Source organism: Homo sapiens, chromosome 5 (genome assembly GCF_000001405.40).
Source record: "Homo sapiens chromosome 5, GRCh38.p14 Primary Assembly".
NCBI classification, from domain to species: Eukaryota; Metazoa; Chordata; class Mammalia; order Primates; family Hominidae; genus Homo; species Homo sapiens.
The window spans coordinates 156,729,441-156,751,260 of NC_000005.10; the positions used below are offsets into that span (position 1 = coordinate 156,729,441).

Consider the following 21,820-nt stretch of genomic DNA (forward strand, 5'->3'; position numbering starts at 1 on the left):
TGTGAGCTCTCATGCTTTAGCTACGTGGAATTGATGATGGGATCTATCTCTCAGGGTTGTAGCAAGCATGAAATGGGATGATACACATAAAGGATTTAAGTAATTCTTGGAATACAAGAAGCACTCAATGAATATTACTAAATGATATCATCATTATCTTTTCTATCAGTGTCTTACTGCCTGATCTTTTAAGATTAGCCATCCCAGGCTGACCTTTTATTTAAATTACATTATAAAATCAAGGTTAGTATATATAAGTAATTTTTCTCCATTCAGTAAAATGTGCAATATTCTCGTTACCAGCCATAGGCAGAACTAAAAATAACTTCTAACATCCCATGTCCCCCTCTCCTCAGCAAGGCCCTGAAGTGAAAACAGAACAATTCTTTTTAGAGTTTCATAACTTTGTGAGCTACTATGTAGATTAAAGCCATTCCATTTAGTTCTTCAACAAAGGAAGTGCAAAAATCCCAAGAGGCCAAGTAAAATGAAATTATACTTCTGACAGGGAACCACCTGAAATATCAAAACAATGGCCAAAAAGAGGCAAGTTAAAAATTTTTCATTGTGCATCTCCAATACTTCAGCAGCATTTGAGAGGTTTTCTCCACCTCCTTTCACAATTGTACCACAATATAGTCCAGACCTACACTAAAGACAATATACACATTTATTACAAGTATATAATTAGAATTTTTATTACCTTTAAGATTCAGATAAGTGAACACTTATCCAAAATCACAGGTCTACTAAGTAAAATGTCAGACCCTAGATTCTGTGCAGTTTTTTTTAGCTTTTATGTGAAGTTCAGGAGTACAAGTACAGGTTTGTTACATAGGTAAACTTGTGACATGGGTGTTTGTTATACAGATTATTTCATCACCCAGATATTAAGCTTAGTAACCATTCGTTATTTTCCCTGATCCTCTCTATCCTCTCACCCTGCCAAAATGCCCCAGTGCATGTTGTTCCCCTGTATGTATCCATGTGTTCTCATAATTTAGCTCCCATTTATAAGTGAGAACATGCAATATTTGGTTTTCTGTTTTGTGTTTGTTAGTTTGTTAAGGATAATGACCTCCAGCTCCATCCATATTCCTGCAAAGGATATGATTTCATTTTTTTATGGCTGCATAGTATTCCATGGTGTATATGTTCCACGTTTTCTTTATCCATGCTATCATTAATGGGCATTTAGGTTGATTCCATGTCTTTGTTATGGTGAATAATGCTGTAATGAACATATGCATCCATGTGTCTTTATAATAGAATAATTTATATTCCTGTGGGTATATACCCTGTAATGGGATTCCTGGGTCAAATGGTAGTTCTGTCTTTAGGTCTTTAAGTTCTGTCTTTAGGTCTTTAAGGAATTGCCGCACTGTCTTCCACAGTGACTAAACTTATTTACACTCCCACCAACAGTGTATAAGCATTCCTTTTTCTCCACAACCTCACCAGTATCTATTATTTATTTTTTGACTTTTTAGTAATAGCCATTCCGACTGGTGTGAGGTATCTCATTGTGGTTTGGATTTGCATTTCTCTGATGATTACTGATTTTGAGCTTTTTTTCATGTGTTTCTTGGCCACATGTATGTCTTCTTTTTGAAAAGTATCTGTTCATGTCCTTTGCCTACTTTTAACGAGGTTTTTTTGCATCTGACAAAGGTCTATAATATCTAGCTTCTAGAAGGAACTTAAACAAATTTACAAGAAAAAAACAAGCAAATTTTGCAAAAATGTTCTCCCATTCTGTAGGTTGTCTATTTACTCTGTTGATAGTTTGTTTCTTTGGCTGTGCAGAAGCTCTTTAATTAGATCTCATTTGTCAATTTTTGCTTTTGGTGTTTCATCATTAAATCTTTGCCCATGCCTATGTCCTGAATAGCATGTCCTAGGTTGTTTTCCAGGGTTTTCAGAGTTTTGGGTTTCACATTTAAGTCTTTAATCCATCTTGAGTGAATTTTTGTGTATGATGTAAGGAACAGGTTCGGTGTCAGTCTTCTGCATATGGCTAGCCAGTTATCTGAGCACCATTTATTGAATAGGGAGTCCTTTTTCCATTGCTTGTTTTTGTCAGGTTTATCAAAGATCAGATAGTTGTAGGTGTGTGGTCTTATTTCTGGGTTTTCTATTTTGTTCCATTGGTCTGTGTCTGCTCTTCTACCAGTAGCATGCTGCCTCCAGCTTTGTTCTTTTTGTTTAGGCTATTCGGGCTCTTTTTTGGTTCCACATGATTTTTAAAATAGTTCTCTAGGTCTGTGAAGAATGTCAATGGTAGTTTAATAGGCATAGCATTGAATCTATAAATTGCTTTGGGCAGTATGGCTATTTTCACAATATTGATTCTTCCATGAGCATGGAATGTTTTTCCATTTGTGCCATCTCATTGAGCAGTGGTTTGTAGTTCTTTAGAGACATTTCACTTCCCTGGTTAGCTGTATTCCTGGGTATTTTATTATTTTTGTGGCAGTTGTGTATGGGAGTTCACTCTTGATTTGGCTCTGGGCTTGACTGTTGTTGGTACATAGGAATCCTAGTGATTTTTGCACACTGATTTTGTATTCTGAAGTTGCTTCTCAGCTTAAGAAGCTTTTGGGCTAAGACCATGGGGTTTTCTAGCTATAGAGTCATGTCATTTGTAAACAGGGATAGTTTGACTTCCTGTCTTCCTATTTGAATGCCCTTTATTTCTTTCTCACCTGAATACCCAGGTGAGAACTTCCAATACTGTGTTGAATAGGAGTGGTGAGAGAAGGCATCCTTGTCTTGTACTGGTTTTCAAGGGGAAATACTTCCAGCTTTTGCCCATTCAGTATGATACTGGCTATGGGTCTAATACTTAGTTTATCGTGTTTTTAACATGAATGGATGTTGAATTTTATCAAAAGCCTTTTCTGCATCTATTGAGATAATCATGTTGTTTTTGTCTTTAGTTCTGTTTATGTGATGAATCACATTTGATTTGTATATGTTGAACCAGCCTTGCATCCTGGGATTAAGCCTACTTATTTGTGGTGGATAAGCTTTTTGATGTGCTGCTGGATTCAGTTTGCCAGTATTTTATTGAGGATTTTTGCATCAATGTTCATCAAAGATATTGGCCTGAAGGTTTCTGTTTTTTTCTATCTTTGCCAGGTTTTGGTATCAGGATGATGCCTCATAGAATGAGTTAGGGCAGAGTCCCTCCCTTCTCAATTTTTTGTCACAGTTTCAGTAGGAATGGTAGCTCTTCTTCATACATTTGGTAGAATTCAGCTGTGAATCTGTCTGGTCCTGGGCTCTTTTTGGTTGGTAGGCTATTTATTACTGCCTCAATTTCAGAACTCGTTATTGGTCTATTCAGGGAGTCAGTGTCTTCCTGGTTCTGTCTAGGGAAGGTGTATGTGTCTACAAATTTATCTATTCTAGTTCATGAGCACAGAGGTGTTCATAATATTCTGTGATGGTTGTATTTCTTTGGGGTCAGTGGTAACATCTCCCTTGTCGTTTCTGATTGTGTTTATTTGAATCTTCTCTTTTCTTCTTTGTCTGCCTAGCAGTCTACCTATGTTATTAATTCTTTCAAAAAACCAGCTCCTGGATTCATTTATTTTTTTGAAGGGTTTTTCATGTCTCTCTTTCAGTTCAGCTCTGATCTTGCTTTGAGATTTGCTAGCTTTGAGGTTTGTTTGCTCTTGGTTCTCTACTTCTTTTTGGTGTTGGATTGTTAACTAGAGAGCTTTCTAACTTGTCCATGTGAGCATTTAGCGCTATCAATTTCCCTCTTAACACTTCCTTAGCTGTGTCCCCGAGATTCTGATACATTGTTCTTAATAATTTCAAAGAACTTATTGATTTTTGCCTTAATTTCATTATTTACCCAAGAGTCATTCAGGAGTATGTTGTTCAATTTCCATGTAGTTGTGTGGTTTTGAGTGATTGTGCTTTGGTTTGAGAGACTGTTATTATTTCAGTCATTTTGCGTCTGCTGAGGAGTGTTTTACTTCTGCTTGTGTGATCAATTTTAGAGTAACTGCCATGTGGCAATGAGAAGAATGTATATTCTGTTGTTTTGGGGTGGAGAGATCTGTAGATAACTATCAGGTCCGTGTAATTTAGAGCTGAGTTCATGTCTTGAATATCTGTCTCAATGATCTAATATTGTCAGTGGGGTGTTAAAGTCTCCCACTAATATAGTATAGGAGTCTGAGTCTCTTTGAAGGTCTCTAAGAACTTGCTTTATGAATCTGGGTGCATATTTATTTAGGAGAGTTAGCTCTTCTTGTTAAGTTGAACCTTTTACCATTATGTAATGCCCTTCTTTGTATTTTTTAATCTTTATTGGCTTAAAGTCTGTTTTGGCAGAAACTAAGATTACAACCCCTGCTTTTTAATGTTTTCCATTTCCTTAGTAGACTTTCCTCCATCCCTTTATTTTGAGCCTATGTGTGTCACTACATGTGCGAGGGTCTCTTGAAGATAGCATACAAATGGATCTTGGTTCTGTATTCATACATGTGTATTTGATCCTCTCATCATGATCTTAGCGGGTTATTTTGGAGACTTTATGTGGTTGCTTTATATTGTCATCAGTGTGTTTTTGTAGTGGCTGGTAATGATCTTTCTTTTCCATATTTAGTGCTTCTTTCAGAGCTCTTGTAAGGCAGATTGATGGTAACAAATTCTCTCAGCATTTGTTTGTCTGAAAATGATCTTATTTCTCCTTGTCTTATGAAGAATTCTAGGTTGGAATTTATTTTAAAGAATGTTGAATACTGTCCCCCAATCTCTTCTGGCTCATAGGGTTTCTGCTGAAAGGTCTTCTGTTAGTCTGATGGGTTTCCTTTTGTAGGTGACCTGTCCTTTCCCTCCAGCTGCCTTTAACTTTTTTTTTTTCCTTTCCACCTTGTAGAATCTGATGATTATGTGTCTTAGGGATGATTTTCTCATGGAAAATCTTACTGGAGTTCTCTGCATTTCCTGAATTTGAATGTTGGCCTCTCTACCTAGGTTGGGGAAGTTCTCATGGATGATATCCTGGAACATGTTTTCTAAATTGGCTCCATTCTCCTCATCTTTTTCAGGTACAACAATCAGTCGTAGATTTGGTCTCTTTACATTATCCCATATTTCTCAGAGGTTTTCATCATTCCATTTCATTATTTTTTCTCTAGTCAGAAAGGCAGTTTTCAAGCTCTGAAATTCTTTCCTCTGCTTGGTCTTTTCTGCTGTTAATACTTGTTATTGCATTATAAAATTCTTGTAGTCTGTTTTTTACCTCTATCAGTTTGGTTGCATTCCTCTCTATACTGGCTATTTTGGCTGTCAGTTCCTGCAATGTTTTATCATGATTTTTAGCTTCCTTGCATTGGGTTACAATGTACTCTTTTATTTAGCTCAGTCAACTTTGTTCTGATCCATATTCTGAATTCTACTTCTGTCATTTCAAACCCTTGCTGGTGAGGTAGTATGGTCATTTGATAGGAATAGGGCACTTTAGCTTTTTGAGTTTTCAGTGGTTTTGCACTGATTCTTTCTCATTTTGGTAGGCTTATCTACCTTCAGTCTTTGAGGTTGCTGACCTCTGGATGGTTTTTTTGTTTTGTTTTAAACAGTCTGGCCACTTTTCTTAAGGCCTGCTGCAGTTTGCTGGGGATCCACTCCAGTCCCTAATCACCTCAGATTTTCCAGTACCTGGAGGTATCACCAGTGAAGGCTGTGAACAGCAAAGATGGCAGCCTCCTTCTTTCTCTGGGAGCTCCATCCCAGAGAGGCCTGAAACCTCTGTCAGCCAGAGACCCTGGTTGGGAGGCTCCACCCAGTGATGAGGAATGGGGTCAGGGACCTTCTGTGCTGGGGTACTACTTTCACCCGCAGTCAGCTTGGACTCTCCAAAGCCCAAAGGCTGGAACTACTAAGCCACCCAAACAGCACAGATGGCAGCCTGCCCCCCACTGCCTCTGGGAGCTCTGTCCCAGGGAGTTTTCAAATCTCTGTCAGCTGGAGAGCACTGGCAGGGGTGGCTGGAGGCCCCAGTTGTGAGGTTCTTCCCTGTGAAGAGGAACAGGATCAGGCATCTGCTTAAAGAAACAGTCTTGCTATGTTTTTGTAGAGCAGCTGTGTTGTGCTAGGGGGTATCCCTTCTGCCCCAGTCAGATTGGACTCTCCAAACAGTAAAGATGACAGCCTGCCCCTCCCCTCAGGAGCTCTGTCCCGGGTAGGTGCAACACTGCTACTGGTGGCTGGCTGGAATTCCAACCCAGTGGGTCTTATCCTGTGAGGTGCCATAAAAGCAGGGCCCGCAGACCATCGCTGCTTTGCCCCCTGGATTCAGCCACTTTCCTAGGGGTATCTATGGTGGTCTAACCTCCTGCTTTGCCAGAGTTGCAGCTACTTGTGCTGGGAAGCCTGGAAAACCAGAGTATCTAAAGTTCCCAGGTCTCCTGTGTGCCTGAGAAGCTGCTGTGCCAAGACTCCATGTAGCTCTGTGTGTCAGACTGAAGGCCCTGGTGGAGTGGGTTTATGAAGGGATCTACTGATCTGAGGGTTGCAAAGATCCATGGGAGAAGAGTTTTCCTGGGATCACACAATCACTCGCTGCTTACCTTGGCAAGGGAGGTTCCCTTGGCTCCACATTCTGCTCCCAGATGGGCCGTCGTCCTGCCTTGCTCTTCTCCATTCTCTGTGGGTCGAGTTGTTTCCTTGATTAGTCCCAGTGTTGACTGTCTGGATGTGTCAGTTGGCAGTGCTGTATTTACTTGCCCCTTCCTTCCTTTCCTCTCTGTGAGAGCCACGCATCCTATCTGCTTTTAGTTGGCCATCTTGGCCACTCTTTGTGTTTACTTACTCTGCTTTATTGCAGTTTTGTTCATCCTGAATTAGAGCACAGAAAGCCATAGGATAAACTTGACACATCTTCCTGGAGAATATTTTACCCAAAGATTTGGATACAAATCAAATAACTCACAAATGATAAACTATTATTTTTCATTAAATAGGGATATTGTATATGGTACAACACCAAATTTGTATAACTTTTGAAGCTGAACAGAAGAGATTTCCATAAAAAACACTTACCTTTTAGTGAGTCTGTGTGTCTGTGTCCCAGACCCCCAGAGGAATGCACTAATCCTCTATGAGAGCTGGCAATTCAATGGAAAGTTTTAAGAAGGCTACTTTGAAGCCAGATAGTCCTGGTTACCTGAGCCCCATCTCCAAGTGAATGACAGGGTGGACTTGGGCAAGTCATTCCACCTTACTGAGCCTCATCTGTTCAATAGGGATTCTACCACATACTGCATAGGATGTATTGAGAACTCGCGGGACCATATGAAAGTCTGAAAGCATCGTTGGTGTTCACTACATAGTGATTATTATTATTGAATGTAATCACTTTAATCACTTTCCAAATATGCCTTCTGACTTGTTCAGCCCTCAGCTTTCACATAATCCCCCAGCTAACCCTACTGAGACCAACACCAGAACGACCTCCATATCGCTTTTAAATACCATTTCAGGCTTCTCATGTTACCATTTTCACTAACAGAGGATCCTGAAATGGGTAATATAAAATTGCAAAGTAGGTAAGCTAGTTACTAACCAAAATATTTATTTAATGGCTGGACCAAAGATAGAAGTTTTTCAATTTGTATCCAATAGATAACCATTTAAAATGATATATATTATTTTAAATGTATACATTCACATCACCCAGAGTCTCTTGACACAAATTAAGTACTTCCTCAATTTTAGCTGATTACAATGTACTTTTTCCCAGAGCCCTAAAACTCAGTCTATTACTGTAGCATTTGTTCATTCCAGTAAATAGTGGCAGTTTTCAGGTAACATTTAAAAGCATGGGTTCTAGTGATAGAGTTGCAGTGGGAACATCTACTCTGCTGCTAGCTGAGTTACCTTAGGCTTAACTTCCCCCAACTAACTGTAAGGTGGGGATAATAATATTAATGTGACTTCTTCCTACAATGTTTTATTTAGCACATTGCCTACTGTATAGTAAGTATGCAATAATTTTTAGGTATAAATTTTAGTAAGTGGCTTTTAAAAAATTAAGCTTGAGTGAGGTATAGTTATTTACATATAAGACACTAATATTGTTTTCAGCCTTCCTAGAGCTATGTGGATCACCTACTTTGCTCCCCACAGAGAGGGATTCCTGTACAATATATCAGTAAGTGGACACAGAATACTCTTGAGGATGTCTACTGAAGGCTAGCATGGGGGATGAAGAGAGCACAGGGTGACCACTTGACTCAGTGCAGGAGATCTCTTACATTATAATCATATGGCAGGCAGTATACTTACATTGACTATTAATCTTCCAGAATCTATTTGCTGCTAAGAAACATGAAGTGTGTTTCAGGGCTGAGAGATGGACCCTTTCAATTGCTAGTCCAACCCTCTCATTGTATACAGGAGAATGGGTCCCCATCGCGAGTTAGTGGCTAACTCAATGACAGGCATCTCCTCCTAATCCAGAGCTCCTTCTATGATGCACTGCCCCATAGGCTGAACCGATTTTCAATCCTGATCAAAGCTAGAGATTTCATTTAAATGAAAAATCCAAATAACATTTGTGAATGTATTACTTTTAATTGCTAATTAAAATAATCAACAGCCTAGCTGTCTGTTACACATGGAGTCAAGTTAGTTGCATGGGTCATTAGATGTTCTGAGAGCATTAGGTCTTATTGGGAAGACTTGAAAAATCAGTACTCTAATGAAAATTGAGAAGATGGAAATGTACATCTTTTCTTTGATATTCAAATCAATTATTTAGTTTCTATCTCACTTTAGAAAGAATCACAGTGTAAAGAATGTAATAGTTTGGGGATGGAGGGTATGGGGAGGACCATAAAGAGAGTCCCTCTGGAAACTGCTATTGTGATGTTTGTAGTTTCATATGCAGTCACCTTGGAAACCTCGAGTTCTGAGGAACACCATTTGCTACAAAATCCCAGCTTCTATTCACAGTTCAGAAGCCATGTTAGGCTACTAAGGCACAGTATTTATGATCAGTTTTGACCTCTGGCAAAAGTAGTTGACAAATTCTACAGAGAATCTGTCAAGCTTTTCCTCTCTCATAGTTGTTAAAGTTTTAGCATGGAAGAAGAATGGACTATTTTTAGCCACTTACCTTTGAACATTTTGGATTAAAATTACTCTGCGTTCCAGTTCTTTGCAGTCTGTTATGTGGCCACTACATACAACAGGATGCCTCTTGTGGATAAGGAACACCAGAGAGGGGATTAGAGTTAGGAACAAAAGAAATCATCAGTTCTAACCAGTTTGAGGGGGGAATGACTACACTAACACCAATCACTGCCATATCGTAAGGCTTCACCTACATTTCCACATTTCGTCTTTATAACAGTGCTACAAAGAAGACACCAATATCTCTTTTGAACATGAGAAATAGCTCAGCCTCAAAAAGCCTTCTCCAAGGTGAAACATCCAGCAGACATCCAGCAGATGAGGTGCTTGGGCTCAAAATCCTGAGTCTGAAGCTCAAGCTTTAAAGAAATATCCTACATTCCCTTCTAAGAAATTTGGAATAAAAAATTGTAGGTGGCATGAAATTGCTAATAAGTTAGAAGTAAGAATAAGGTATTTAAGATATATTAAGAGGGGGAAACATCTAAAAGGTAACATAACAAAATATGGCCCTAGCATCATATTTTTTTTTCTAAGTTCAGTGAAAGATAACACTAATGAGACTGCCAATTCTAATGCAACTAGACTGCAATAATAATCTTAAGTTGTTCAGAATCATACCAAGAAGGGAAAGAAAGGAAAGTGTGCTCATTTGGCCCTAGACCTTGCTCAGAACATAGCAAGAGCATTGCATTCAACACGAGGCAGCAGGTTCTAAGAGGGAAGTCAATTCAAACAAATATTTCCTGCACGCCTTGATGCTGGGCATAAACCAAGTAGAATTATCACATTTACAGAGCTTAATCTAGAAGAAGAGATAAATTAAAACAAGTAAAGAGACAAATAAATAATTGCAAATTGCGTCCAGTGGCATGAAGGAAATGGATATATTAAGAGTAAGAACAGAAGGTGGGCCTCCCATTTCCTGCAGGGTAGGATGACCAAGAAGATCACTCTAGTCTACTTGCTGGAGGATCTGTCAAATATCCTCTTCAGCCTGGATAAAAAAACTTCAAAATAGCCAGAATGCTTGTCTTTATAAACTGTGTGTATTTACCTATGGAAGCTGCAGATGACATATGTTACAGGAAGATATTTCTACCCAATAAATATAAAAGCTACTTTTAAACAGTCAGAACCATGGATTATTACGAAAACATACTAGTGAGGAATCAGAGACCTGGGTTTAATCTACAAGTCTCTAAGCACATGGTCTTGGCCACAATGTTTGTTTAACCGCTCTGAACCTCCCTTGCCTCCTGCCACAAATGGAACTGGTACTAGATACCAGCTAGAATGCCCAACTCAAAAAGCACATCCATGGTATATAATATGGATTCACTTATGGTTTATGAATCTAAATCTGTCAGTGATACTTGCCATGGACTTTAATTAGAAAACCCTAGGCCTCTGCAGTTCCTTTGAATCAGACTCTGAAAAAGCTTAACTCAAAAATAGAAGATGAGTCACAAGTGTTGCAGGAAAATGATGTCATAATTTTATTGTCAAAATTATTAATATCCAGGCAGAAAACTAATTGGACCATGGAGTTGAACATGATGGTAGCCAATATCATGTTCTTAAAGTTGCCTGGCATTAAAATCTCACTCACCGTTACTTCAAATGTCCCATTACATTGATACAGACCAGGCTCTTCAATATGGCTGTTGGTTCATTAGTGTTGATCAAACAGCACAGCTAAAATATGGGAACAATTTTTAAAGTGGTTTTCTGGAAGTAGAAATTAAACTGAGCTCTTGAAGATTCAACGAGTGCTAATGAACTTCAGGTCAATGAAGAAATTGTTTGAAAAATATATACACTTTAAAGATTGCAATGAATTATGTCACCTTCTTAGAGACACACAACTTTTGAATTAAAGAATCCTACTGATTTGCTCAAGTTTTATATAGACAGTAGCATTAGAGTGGCAACACAGAAGTATAATGGGCCCACACAGTGGGCACTGTAGATCTTTATTTTATCAAGTATGTTAATTTAGCTATTGGGGTTTTAACTTGGGTTACCTCTTCTCAGAAGCAATATCCTAAGCATGCTGTTCTCATCAGTGGAATGGCAGGATTCCCTATTCACATTTGAAGATCTGCTAAGTCAGTCTACGTCAATGGTTCTCAACCACCTCCTTAAAGAAAAAAATTCAAATCAATAAATGCCCTGGCATTCCGATTTAATTTGTGTGGGTTGTGACCCACGTTTCAAAAGCTCCCCTTGTGATTCTGACCACAATGAAATTTCCCACCCAATCTGAGAACTCCCCAAGTGCAGCTGCTTTAATTGACCAAAAATACACCAACTTTATACCTTCCCACCAGTTTTTTCTAAGTTATTTCCCTTTCAGTCATAACTTTCTCTGATTATTATTTTTCTCAAACTTGTAACACACAGAGTAATCCTAGGTGTTGGTGTGAAACTGCTGTTTCCTGGGAAAGACCAGAGCTAACCTCTTCTATTTCAGCTACCACATATATTATTTGGCTTTTATGATGTTCTGAAGGTCGCTCCCCAAAGTAACAAAAGCCATTGTCTCCATTCTCTAAGGATGGAAACACAATATGATCTAAAAGCTTGTCTAGGTTTGGAAGTGATTAATGTAGATTCTTATGATGAAGGAAATGAAAACGAGAAATCTGGATAAGTAATCACTGTTTCAACAAAAACAATTTCAACAAAAAATGAGCCTGAGACAGAGAACAAACTGATAATGCCAACAGCTAATAAATTATTCTCTTAGTTTTCAAAACAGACTTTGTGATAACATTTAAAGTTTTGTAGGGTTTTTTGATTCATGAGACTTCCAAGTACAGCCAGGAAGGAAAGGGACCCAGTTTCCCATGTTTCACAGGTACATTAAGTGGAATTTGAGCTGAGCAGAAGTTTTAACTGAATGCAGAAATGTGCCACGAAAGGAAGGTTTGATAGAGAAAAATCTCAGAGCTTCGTAAACCTGGGAGAGATGACCAATTTTCTCCTTGTCATATTCCCTGGGCCGAAAACTACACATCTTCAAACACGAGCTGTGAAACCATCTCAGAGGGTAACAGAGGCTGGACACTTTGGAACTCTGGTCAGGGCTTTGCCTCGTGTCTAACTATAGAAATGACAGCATTTCAGAGGAAATGTTTACCCTGGGAGGATGCAATCTACATGGTGAATTGGCTAGACAATCAGTTCCTCAATTGCACCTTCCTAGTCTTACCAGCCAAAAAGAGACAGTGAGACAGTGGATGCTCCATGGAATCCAATTATGTTTTCAGGTTTTTTTTTTTTTCTTTTTTTGAGACAGAGTCTTGCTTTGTTGCCCAGGCTGGAGCACAGTGGCACTATCTCAGCTCACTGAAAGCTCCACCTCCCAGCTTCATGCCATTCTCCTGCCTCAGCCTCCTGAGTAGCTGGGACAACAGGCACCCACCACCACGCCTGGCTAATTTTTTGTATTTTTAGTAGAGACGGGGTTTCACCCATGTTAGCCAAGATGGTCTCGATCTCCTGACCTCGTGATCCACCCGCCTCGGCCTCCCAAAGTGCTGGGATTACAGGCGTGAGCCACCGTGCCCGGCCTCAGGTTTCTTTTTCTTGAGGTTTTATACACAAAGTACCATTAACTCAGCGATACGGAAATACTCCACCAACCACAATCAAATACACCTCCCACTTTACTATCTCTAGCCCCACATGTCCACATTTCTGCTTGATGACTCAAACATCTTCAAGTCGACATATTTCAAACAAACTCATGATGTTCTATCCACTATCCATATACTCTATAAGCATTCTGCTTATTCTCTTCCCTCTCTCAGTGGCTGACCTCCACCATCTACTGGTAATAAAATCTACAACACTAGAAATCAGCCTTGGTCCAGTCCATCACCAAATCCAAATCACCATCTTCTTCCACCTGGATAATAACAGACTCCTAGCTACTTTCCTTGCAGTCCTCTTGCTACCTCTTATGCACTTTCCACTCTGTTAGAGAAACAGAAAAAACTGGACATAGATTTACTATAAGAAATTGACTCACACAATTACAGAAGCTGAAAAGTCCCATGATCTGCTGTCTGCAAGCTGGAGATCCGGGAGAGCTGATGGTGTTGTTCCAGTTCATGTCAGAAGGACTGAGAACCAAGGAGTAGATGGTATTAATATAAATTCCAATCTGAAGGCAGAAGACTAATGTCTCAAGTAGGCAGGCAGGCAGGCAACGTTATCTCTTGCTCAGTTTTTTGTTCTATACAGGTTATCAATAGATTAGATGAAACTCACTCGCATTAAGGAGGAACCTGTTTTATTCTTCAGATTCAAATGTTAATCTCATCCAGAAACACCCTCACAGACACACCTAGAATAATGTTTGACCAAATGTATGGGTACCTGTGGTTTAGTCAAGTTGAAAAATAAAATTAACCATCACAGGAATATTTTTTGCCCGCTTATACCACCAATCCATTTAAAATCCTTATTCTGCAAAGCCATACCTCACTTGCTTCCTACATCTTTTTTTTTTTTTTTTTTTTGAGATGAAGTTTTTGCTCTGGTGCCCAGACTGGAGTGCAGTGGCACAATCTCGGCTCACTGCAACCTCCGCCTCCTGGGTTCAAGCGATTCTCCTGCCTCAGCCTCCCCAGTAGCTGGGATTACAGGCACCCACCATCACACCTGGCTAGTTTTTGCATTTTTAGTAGAGACAGGGTTTCACCATGTTGGCCAGGCTGATTTCAAACTCTTAACCTCAGGTGATCAACCTGCCTTGGCCTCCCAAAGTGCTGGAATTACAGGCATGAACCACCGCGCCCAGCCTTGCCTCTTATTAATACCACATTATCTACTTTGTTTAAATTTCTTTTAACTCATAAAATTACTTTCTTTCTAAAAGTCTTTATGCTGAATGCTGGTCCTTCTGCGTCTCTGTGCCCCTTAAGCCCAGTATAATCCATGTTTATTAACTAAATCAACTAGCTCTACACTGGGAAAGAAGAGCTGATTCAAAATGATGTTTTGTAATGGCCAAGCTTGCCTTTCATAGAAGCAAATCTCAAAATGGTTTTGCTCTAGAGGACATATCACTGCTTTCTGAGAGAAATAGTCTTCAAATGAGACTATCCAATACATTTCTTAAGTCTTTAGAGTAGAAGCCTAGAATATTATGAATAGATTTTTCTTTCAACAGATCTCTACAAACTCAGCAGATTCATTGGTAAAACTTAAATACCTGTTTCAGATAAGAAGGAGCTTGAGTTTCAAAGTGACCCTTATTTGACTTAAAAGTAGAACTTATATAATTAGAGAAGATTATGTTCCTTCTTCCTATTTTCTGGTGCTTATTTTATTTAAGCCAATCTCTATAATGCAAGTTGAAACTGGTTGAAATTGGTTCCCCTGAGTACAATGTGTTCAAGCCAAAGCAGGCAGTTAAAACAGGGATACCTGAGCCAGACACAGTGGTGCACACCTGTAATCCCAGCTATTCTGGAGGCTGAGGCAAGATTGCTCGAGCCCAGGAGTTCAAAACCAGGGCAACATAGTGAGACCCCTGTCTCTATAAATCCACCCCTCATTGTTATCCCTGTTTTATTTTTATTTTTAATGTATCAACCTACCTGAGCTGGAACAACATTTCCCAAAATCCTTCCCTGAGTTAGCATGGCTGCATGAGGTTTGGAAGGTGAGAATGCAGCATCTGCCATACTCTTTTTGTGCTGGAAAATCAGTGCAGAGCCACAGGCACTGTTGGAGATCACCTGCTCGATCACCTTGTTAGTGTGGGGCAGCAGCCGAGACTTTAGTCTTTTGGCTCCCACCAATTTTCTTCTAGCTTCTCCAACTCCTGGGCTAGGTACATGCTGAGTTTCAGGAAGAAAGACAGAAGTGGTGGGAGATTGTCGTGGGTTCCAGTTCATCATCATTCTCCCCCACTTCACATCCATCTTTTTTTCCTGATTCCCATCCCACTGACTTCAAGCTCCAGCATCAGACACAAAGACAACCTTACCTAGATTGTTTAACCAGGTCTCCCAAATGTGTAAGGACAAATTCCTATAATAAACGAAATTATATATCTGTCTCATTCATAGATGTTATCTTTCTCTAATGGAGCCATGATCAACAAACTTCCATGGAGCTTTCTAGCCAATTGACAACTCTTCAGCCAGATGTGATTCTCAGAAAGTTGGCACATCCATAATTTAAAAAGAAGCTGCCAACTTTTAAAGTTGAGCTGATTTTATCATACCATGTCAAGTTCCGTAATCTTTTGAAAAATTGGAAACCTGGACCTCCAGTGCAACACAGATGGTAGTTTTAAGTTCCCTAACCAGTCCACCCTCTGAAAACTATTAAGATTATTCAACATTCAAGCCCTAAAGGAGCGTGAGAACACAGAGACATCAGCTGATCATTGAGGCCCCTTTAACGTTATAGATTTTGCTAACCTAGATGAAATTTAGCTTCAGTTTTCATGGCCTCCTGGGTTATGGGAACAAAACAAATCTTGGGGTTCACTGAGGTGGGGAGTCTTAGAGATTTCACAGATGAAACTGGGACCCCCCCAGTTACCAAAGCCTCAGTGTAAGGGTGAAATAGAATCTAATCTGCCTAGTCTTCCCTACCTGGCCCTTCCACTCAGAGGACTACAAGGGAAATTGCCTGTCTTGAACCTCAGCACTGAATGAAAGGGGAAAAAATAAATTTCTCTACCACTTGATAACTTCAAACTGGCCTTCACTCTGGTTTGTAGCCTGGCTGAATTCATATCACCTGGATGGGCCTGAAATCTCAAGCAGAGAAATTAGTTTACGGTGGGTCCAAGTTCACGGTGGCACCAGTGAGTGATGGAAACAAATGCAAATCCTCTCTAGAGAAAACATCTTAAATGCAGGCTTCAAATAATTCCTGCAGATAAAAATCCAAGCAATGTGAACTCACAGTCAAGAAGGACAAAATACACTCGGAAACAAGGCACCATGAGCAAGAGAGCAGGCAGGAAAACAAGGCAGCCAATGTAGACCCACAGAGGCTTCAGTTATGAGAATTAGCAGAGGAACAAACAAGTATGTTTACTATGCATAAAAAAACACAGGAATAAATTAACAGAGTAAAAAATAAAGACATATAAAAATAACACATTAGAAAAGAAATGAAACAGAATTTCTAGAAATGAAAATACAATCTCAAAAAGCAAAATTCCAATGAATATGAGAAATAGAGAAAAATAAATCAATATGAACATATATCTGAAGAATTACCTCAAAAGCAGAGAGACAGAAGAATAGGAATGCTAGAGTAAGAACATCTAATCCAAATTGCAGAATCAATGAGGAAAGAGAGACTAGGGCAAGAACAGTTTTCAAAGACATATCAGGTGAGTATTATCCTAAAGTGAAGAAAGACACAAAACCACAAGTTTAAAGGGTAAAAAAAAAAAATTAAATTAAAATTAAAATACTGCAAATAAAGCGAAATTTACATGCAGACATATCAGAATGACACTATAGACCATCAGAGATAAAAAAGGAGTAGGCGAGAAAAAAAAAACCAAGTAGAAGTTCTGGGATTGAGATTAGACTGACAGCTGACTTCTTCATCACAACAGTGAGAAGCAGAATGTGAAAGAATAGTAACTTTAATACCTGAGAGAAAATGATTGTCAATGCAGTGTTGTGGATATAGCCAAAATCTCTCTCACAAAAGGAGGGCAAATTAAAGATCTATTCCAGAAAAACAAAACTGGGGGCTTACCCCAGAAGGCATCTACTAAAGGAAAATATCAAGGATTCTTTTGATATTGGAAAGCCTAAGGTAACAGAAGGAATATGTAAAGAGTTAAATACGTAGACATAAATAAATGTTGATTGTATAAACAGTAGTCTTGCAGGATTAAAGAATACAGAACTAAGAGAATTAAGACAGCCAGGTAGTATCCTGAGGCCAGATAAATACACCAGAGAGTTTAGAAATAGATCCACACATATATGCTTAATTGATTTTCAACAAAAACATCAGTGCTGTTCAATGGGGAAAGGATTATCTTTTCAACTAATGGAGCTGGAACAACTGGATAAACCTATTAGAAAAAATGAACACTATTCTTAAAAATTAATTCAAGATGGATCATAAATTTAAGCATAAATGCTAAAACTATAAAGATTCTAGAAGAAAACATGGGAAGAATATCTTTGTGACCTTGGGGTAGTCAATGGTTTATTAGACAAGGCACAAAAGTACTAAAAATTACAAATATTAATAAATTGAAATTTATCAAAATTAAAATAAAAATTTTAAGCTACTCATTAAGAGACACTGCTTAAAAAATGATAAAGAAACTCATAGATTGGGAGAAAATACTTGAAATATATATGAAAAAGAATTTTTACTTAGGATATATACAAAGTCAATAACAAAAATGCAAGTACCCTAATTGTAAAAAGTTGGGGGAGAGATTTAAATAGACCCCTTCCAAATAAACATATTTGAACACCCAGTAAAACACATGAAAAGGTGCCTAACAACATTAGTCATCAAAAAAGTGAAAATCATAATAAAGTACTATTATGTAGCCACCAAAATTTCTATAATTAAAAAGACCCTCAACATCAATGGTGATAGGAATGTAAAACTGCAAAACTATCCTGGAAAACAGTTTGACAATTTCTAATTGTATTATTAATCTATTGCTGTGTAACGCATTACCCCAAAACTTAGCAGTTTAAAACCACAGACATTTATTACCTTTCATTTTCTGTAGGTCAGGAATCAGGTGCAGCTTAGCTGATGGATCTGATTCAAGACTTTTTTATGAGGATGCTGTTAAGCTATTGGACAGGGCAGTGATCTTACCAAACGCTGGACTAGGGGAGGGTCCATTTCCAAAAACACTCTAGTGGTCATTTGTAGGATTAAGTTCTCTGTAGACTGTTGGACTGAACACCTTAGTTTTTCTTGGGCTCATGGCCTCCCCTCCCTCAGTTTCTTGGGCCTCTCCACAGGGCAGCTATCAACATGGTAGCCGGCTTCCCTCAAATTGAAAGAGTGAGAACAAGAGCCTAAGATGGAAGCCACGGTCTTTTTACATCTTAAGCTCATAAGTGATATCCCACTAATTTTGCCATATTCTACTTGTGTAGAAGGAAGTCATTACGTCCAGCCCACGTTGAGGGGAGAGAATAACATAAGGGCATGAAAACCAGGAGACAAGGATTCCTGGGGACCATCTTAGATGCTGCCTCACCACACACATTAAAGACATGCCTGTCTTATAACCTAGTCATTCCACTCGAAGCTGCCTGTTCAAGAGAAATGAAAACTTTTCCTCAAAAAGACTTGTGTAAGAATGTTCATAGTACTTTCTACAAAATAGCCACAAACTGTTAACAACCAGATGTCAATTAACAGTAGAGTGGGTAAACAAATCATGGTCTATTCATGCAATCAACCACTACTAAGCAATAAAAAGAATGAACAACTGATGAACAGAGCCACACGGAAGAATCTCTAGTTTCAAAAATCATAAAAGAGTAAAAATCTATTATTCTCATTATATGAAGTTCAAAAACAAGCAAGATTTATCTGTGGTGCTAGAAATCAGAAGAATGCGTGCCTCTGGAGGGTGGTGGGTGTGAATGCAGAGAAGCATGAGGTAACTTTCTGGGGTACTGGTGTTGGATGCGATGGTGATTACCTGAAACTATACATCTATCAAAATTCATCAAAGTATATAAGTAAGATTAGTGCAATTTACTGTATATAAGTTCTACCTCAATAAAAAGTCATCTGAAATTTTAAAAATTTCGGTTATATTAAAGACCTCTAAAAACATAATAGAATAGTTGATATTTAAAATGACAGAAAAATGTGTCCAAGGCAAATAACAGAAGCATAGTGGAAAAACTATACTAATAGGAAAATAAATTTTAAGGCAGAAAGCATTACAAGAAATAAAGAGAATCACTATATATTAAGATAAAGAGGATAAACCAATTCCAAGCTGGTATGCATCTAATAACATGCCTCTTTTAGTAAATGATAAAACAGATAAAAATAGATATGAATATTCAAAAAATTTGAGTGGAACAACTAAATAACTTGAGTTAATAAGACATATAATATGGCACCAACAACTGAAGAACACATTCTCTTCAGGTAGGCATGCAAGATTTATACATACTGAGACAAAAAGGTAGTTTCAATTTTTTCTTTTTTTTGAGATGGAGTCTCGCTCTGTTGCCCAGCCTGGAGTGCAGTGGTGTGATTTCAGCTCATTGCAGCCTCCTTTTCCCTCTGGGGTAGCTGGGATTACAGGCGTGTACCACCATGCTCAGCTAATTTTTGTATTTTCAGTAGAGATGGGGTTTTACTATGTTGGCCAGGCTGGTCTCGAAATGCTGACTTCAGATGATCTGCCCACCTCAGCTTCCCAAAGTGCTAGGATTATAGGCGTGAGCCATTGAGCCCGGGCTCAATTTTTAAGGAACTGATGTTATACAGAAAATGTTCTCTATTATAAGATTGTCAGTTCAAAAACAATGTTCAAAAGTTCAAAATTTAAAAATACTAGAAATCTATACTAATAAATCTTATGTATTTCTAAAACTAAAGAACGCCCTTCTATAAACCTCATAGGCCAAAAAGAGAAGTCATACTAAAATTAGAAAATATTTACACCTATATTATAAATACTCCTTTGGGATGCCGTCAAAGAAAAATTCATAACTTAAATGCATATATTAAAATTTGGAAAGGCAAAAATTAACAAAACAGCACATTTTAGAACTTGAAACAACTGGAGAATTATCTGGGACAAGACAGATAAATTTATGAACTAAACATAAAAATAGATCAGATTGACAAACCCAAAAGTTAGCTCCTTGAAAGGACTAATAATAAACCTCTGGCAGTACTGTTCAAGGCAAAAAGAAGACGTGAAAAAAATATGTGGGACAAAAAAAAGACAGACAGCTACAAACGCAGGGGGCATCTTATTTTTTATTTTTAAAAATCTTCTTTATCAGTGCAAAGGAGAATAGCAGGGGACATTTTAAAAATGAGGATATTATTTTAAAAAGACTTTGTCAACAAATTTAACCTTTATATGAAATGGAAAAAAAAAGCTAACTTACAAAAAAAACTGGAGAAGAAACACAAAACCTCTATGAGGCTGTAATTATTTTTTGGTGGAAAAACATGTATTTTTCATGCCCAGAGGGTTTATCAATGTGTTTAAACATACAAGGCACAAATAATTCTAATCTTTCATAAACAATTCTGGATTATAGAAAAGTGATAGAACCCGACATTGGTATTACAAGAAAGAAAAATTATAGAACACACTCTTTTATGAATACAGATGCAAATTACCAAAAAAAATGAAATATTTTCAGAAATATATAGAAAAGATAATACATAATGACAAAGTTGGGCTCAAGCCAAAAACACAGGAGTAGATAGTTATTGGAAAATTAATATAATTCACCACATTAATATATTAAGGAGAAATATATTATCTTAATAGATATTCCATTATATAAAATAGCATTTGATAAAATTCACATTAATTAATGATAGAAACTTTTGGCAAAATGAGAATAGAAGAGAACTATCTTATTAAAAGGCATTAGGGGAGAAAAATCCTAGAATAAAAAACATACTTAATGGTAAATTTGGTAAATTGTTGAAAAATTTCCTCTTTAAGGTGAGGAAGAAGCAAGGTTCTCATTTCTTTACTTCTAATCAACACTGTATTGTATGGTTCTAGACAGTATAGTAAAAAAAGAAAAAGAATTAGTATAAGAAATGACAGTCGCGCGCAGTGGCTCATGCCTCTAATCTCAGCACTTTAGGAGGCCCAGGCAGGCAGATCACTTGAGTTCAAGATCAGGCTGGCCAACATGGTGAAACCCTGTCTCTACTAAAAATACAAAAATTAGCCAGGTGTGGTGGTGGGCACCTGTAGTCCCAGCTACTTGGGAGGCTGAGGCTGTAGTAAGCCAAGATTGCGCCACCGCACTTCAGCCTGGGCAACAAGAGTGAAACTCTGTCTCAGAAAAAAAAAAAAAAGAAAAATATAAAACTTTCACAAATTAACATAATTTATAGTTGCAATGAAAACCTAAAATAACCTACAGATAGATTATGAAAAACAGCTTACCTAGGTGTTGATTTTTAAGATCAACATACCAAAAAAGTCAATTAGATATCTATATTTCAGGAAAATAGGATATCTATATTCCAGGGAATAGGAGAATGAGAAATACTTTTTTAAAAAACACCATTTTCAATAGCTACAAAAGATAGGTTAAACTATTGAAATACATCAAATAAAACATAAGTAATTGGAGATAGCTACAGTGTCCATGGATTGAATTTGAATCCCATCCAAATTCCAAAAGAATTTCCTTATGAAACTTAAGTTCATTCCAAAATGTATGTGGAAGACCCAAGAATCGCTAAGACATTCTTGAACAAGAATAAGGTAAGAGGATTTGCCTTATGAAGTATAAAGAATTTTAAAACTCAAGTAAGCTACAATATTTAATTAAACAATATTTTGCAGGGATAGACAAATAGAATAATAGACTAGAAAACCCCAAAAGAGAGCCATAAAGGTATGGGAATATTATTTATGATGGACCTAAATATTGGCTTTTTCAACATA

General features: G+C 37.9%; 1 protein-coding gene and 1 long non-coding RNA gene across 13 annotated transcripts in view; one reads left to right on the forward strand and one right to left on the reverse strand.

Annotated features, from left to right (window-relative positions):
* Nucleotides 1-20,526, reverse strand: part of LOC105377673 (uncharacterized) — a 45,769-nt gene extending 25,243 nt beyond the window's left edge. For 2 of the 4 annotated variants that reach the window (XR_007059015.1, XR_007059012.1), the window contains exons 1-4: nucleotides 13,196-13,354; nucleotides 11,184-11,299; nucleotides 9,140-9,222; nucleotides 6,591-6,858 (exon numbers count right to left, since the gene is read on the reverse strand). This is a non-coding gene — a long non-coding RNA (uncharacterized LOC105377673). Of the gene's footprint in view, nucleotides 1-6,590; nucleotides 6,859-9,139 lie in introns of all 4 variants that reach the window. The other 2 variants (XR_007059013.1, XR_007059014.1) reach the window with 2 other exon arrangements.
* Nucleotides 1-21,820, forward strand: part of SGCD (sarcoglycan delta) — a 1,039,957-nt gene that overhangs the window by 1,001,609 nt on the left and 16,528 nt on the right. The gene's annotated exons all lie outside the window — the stretch shown is intronic.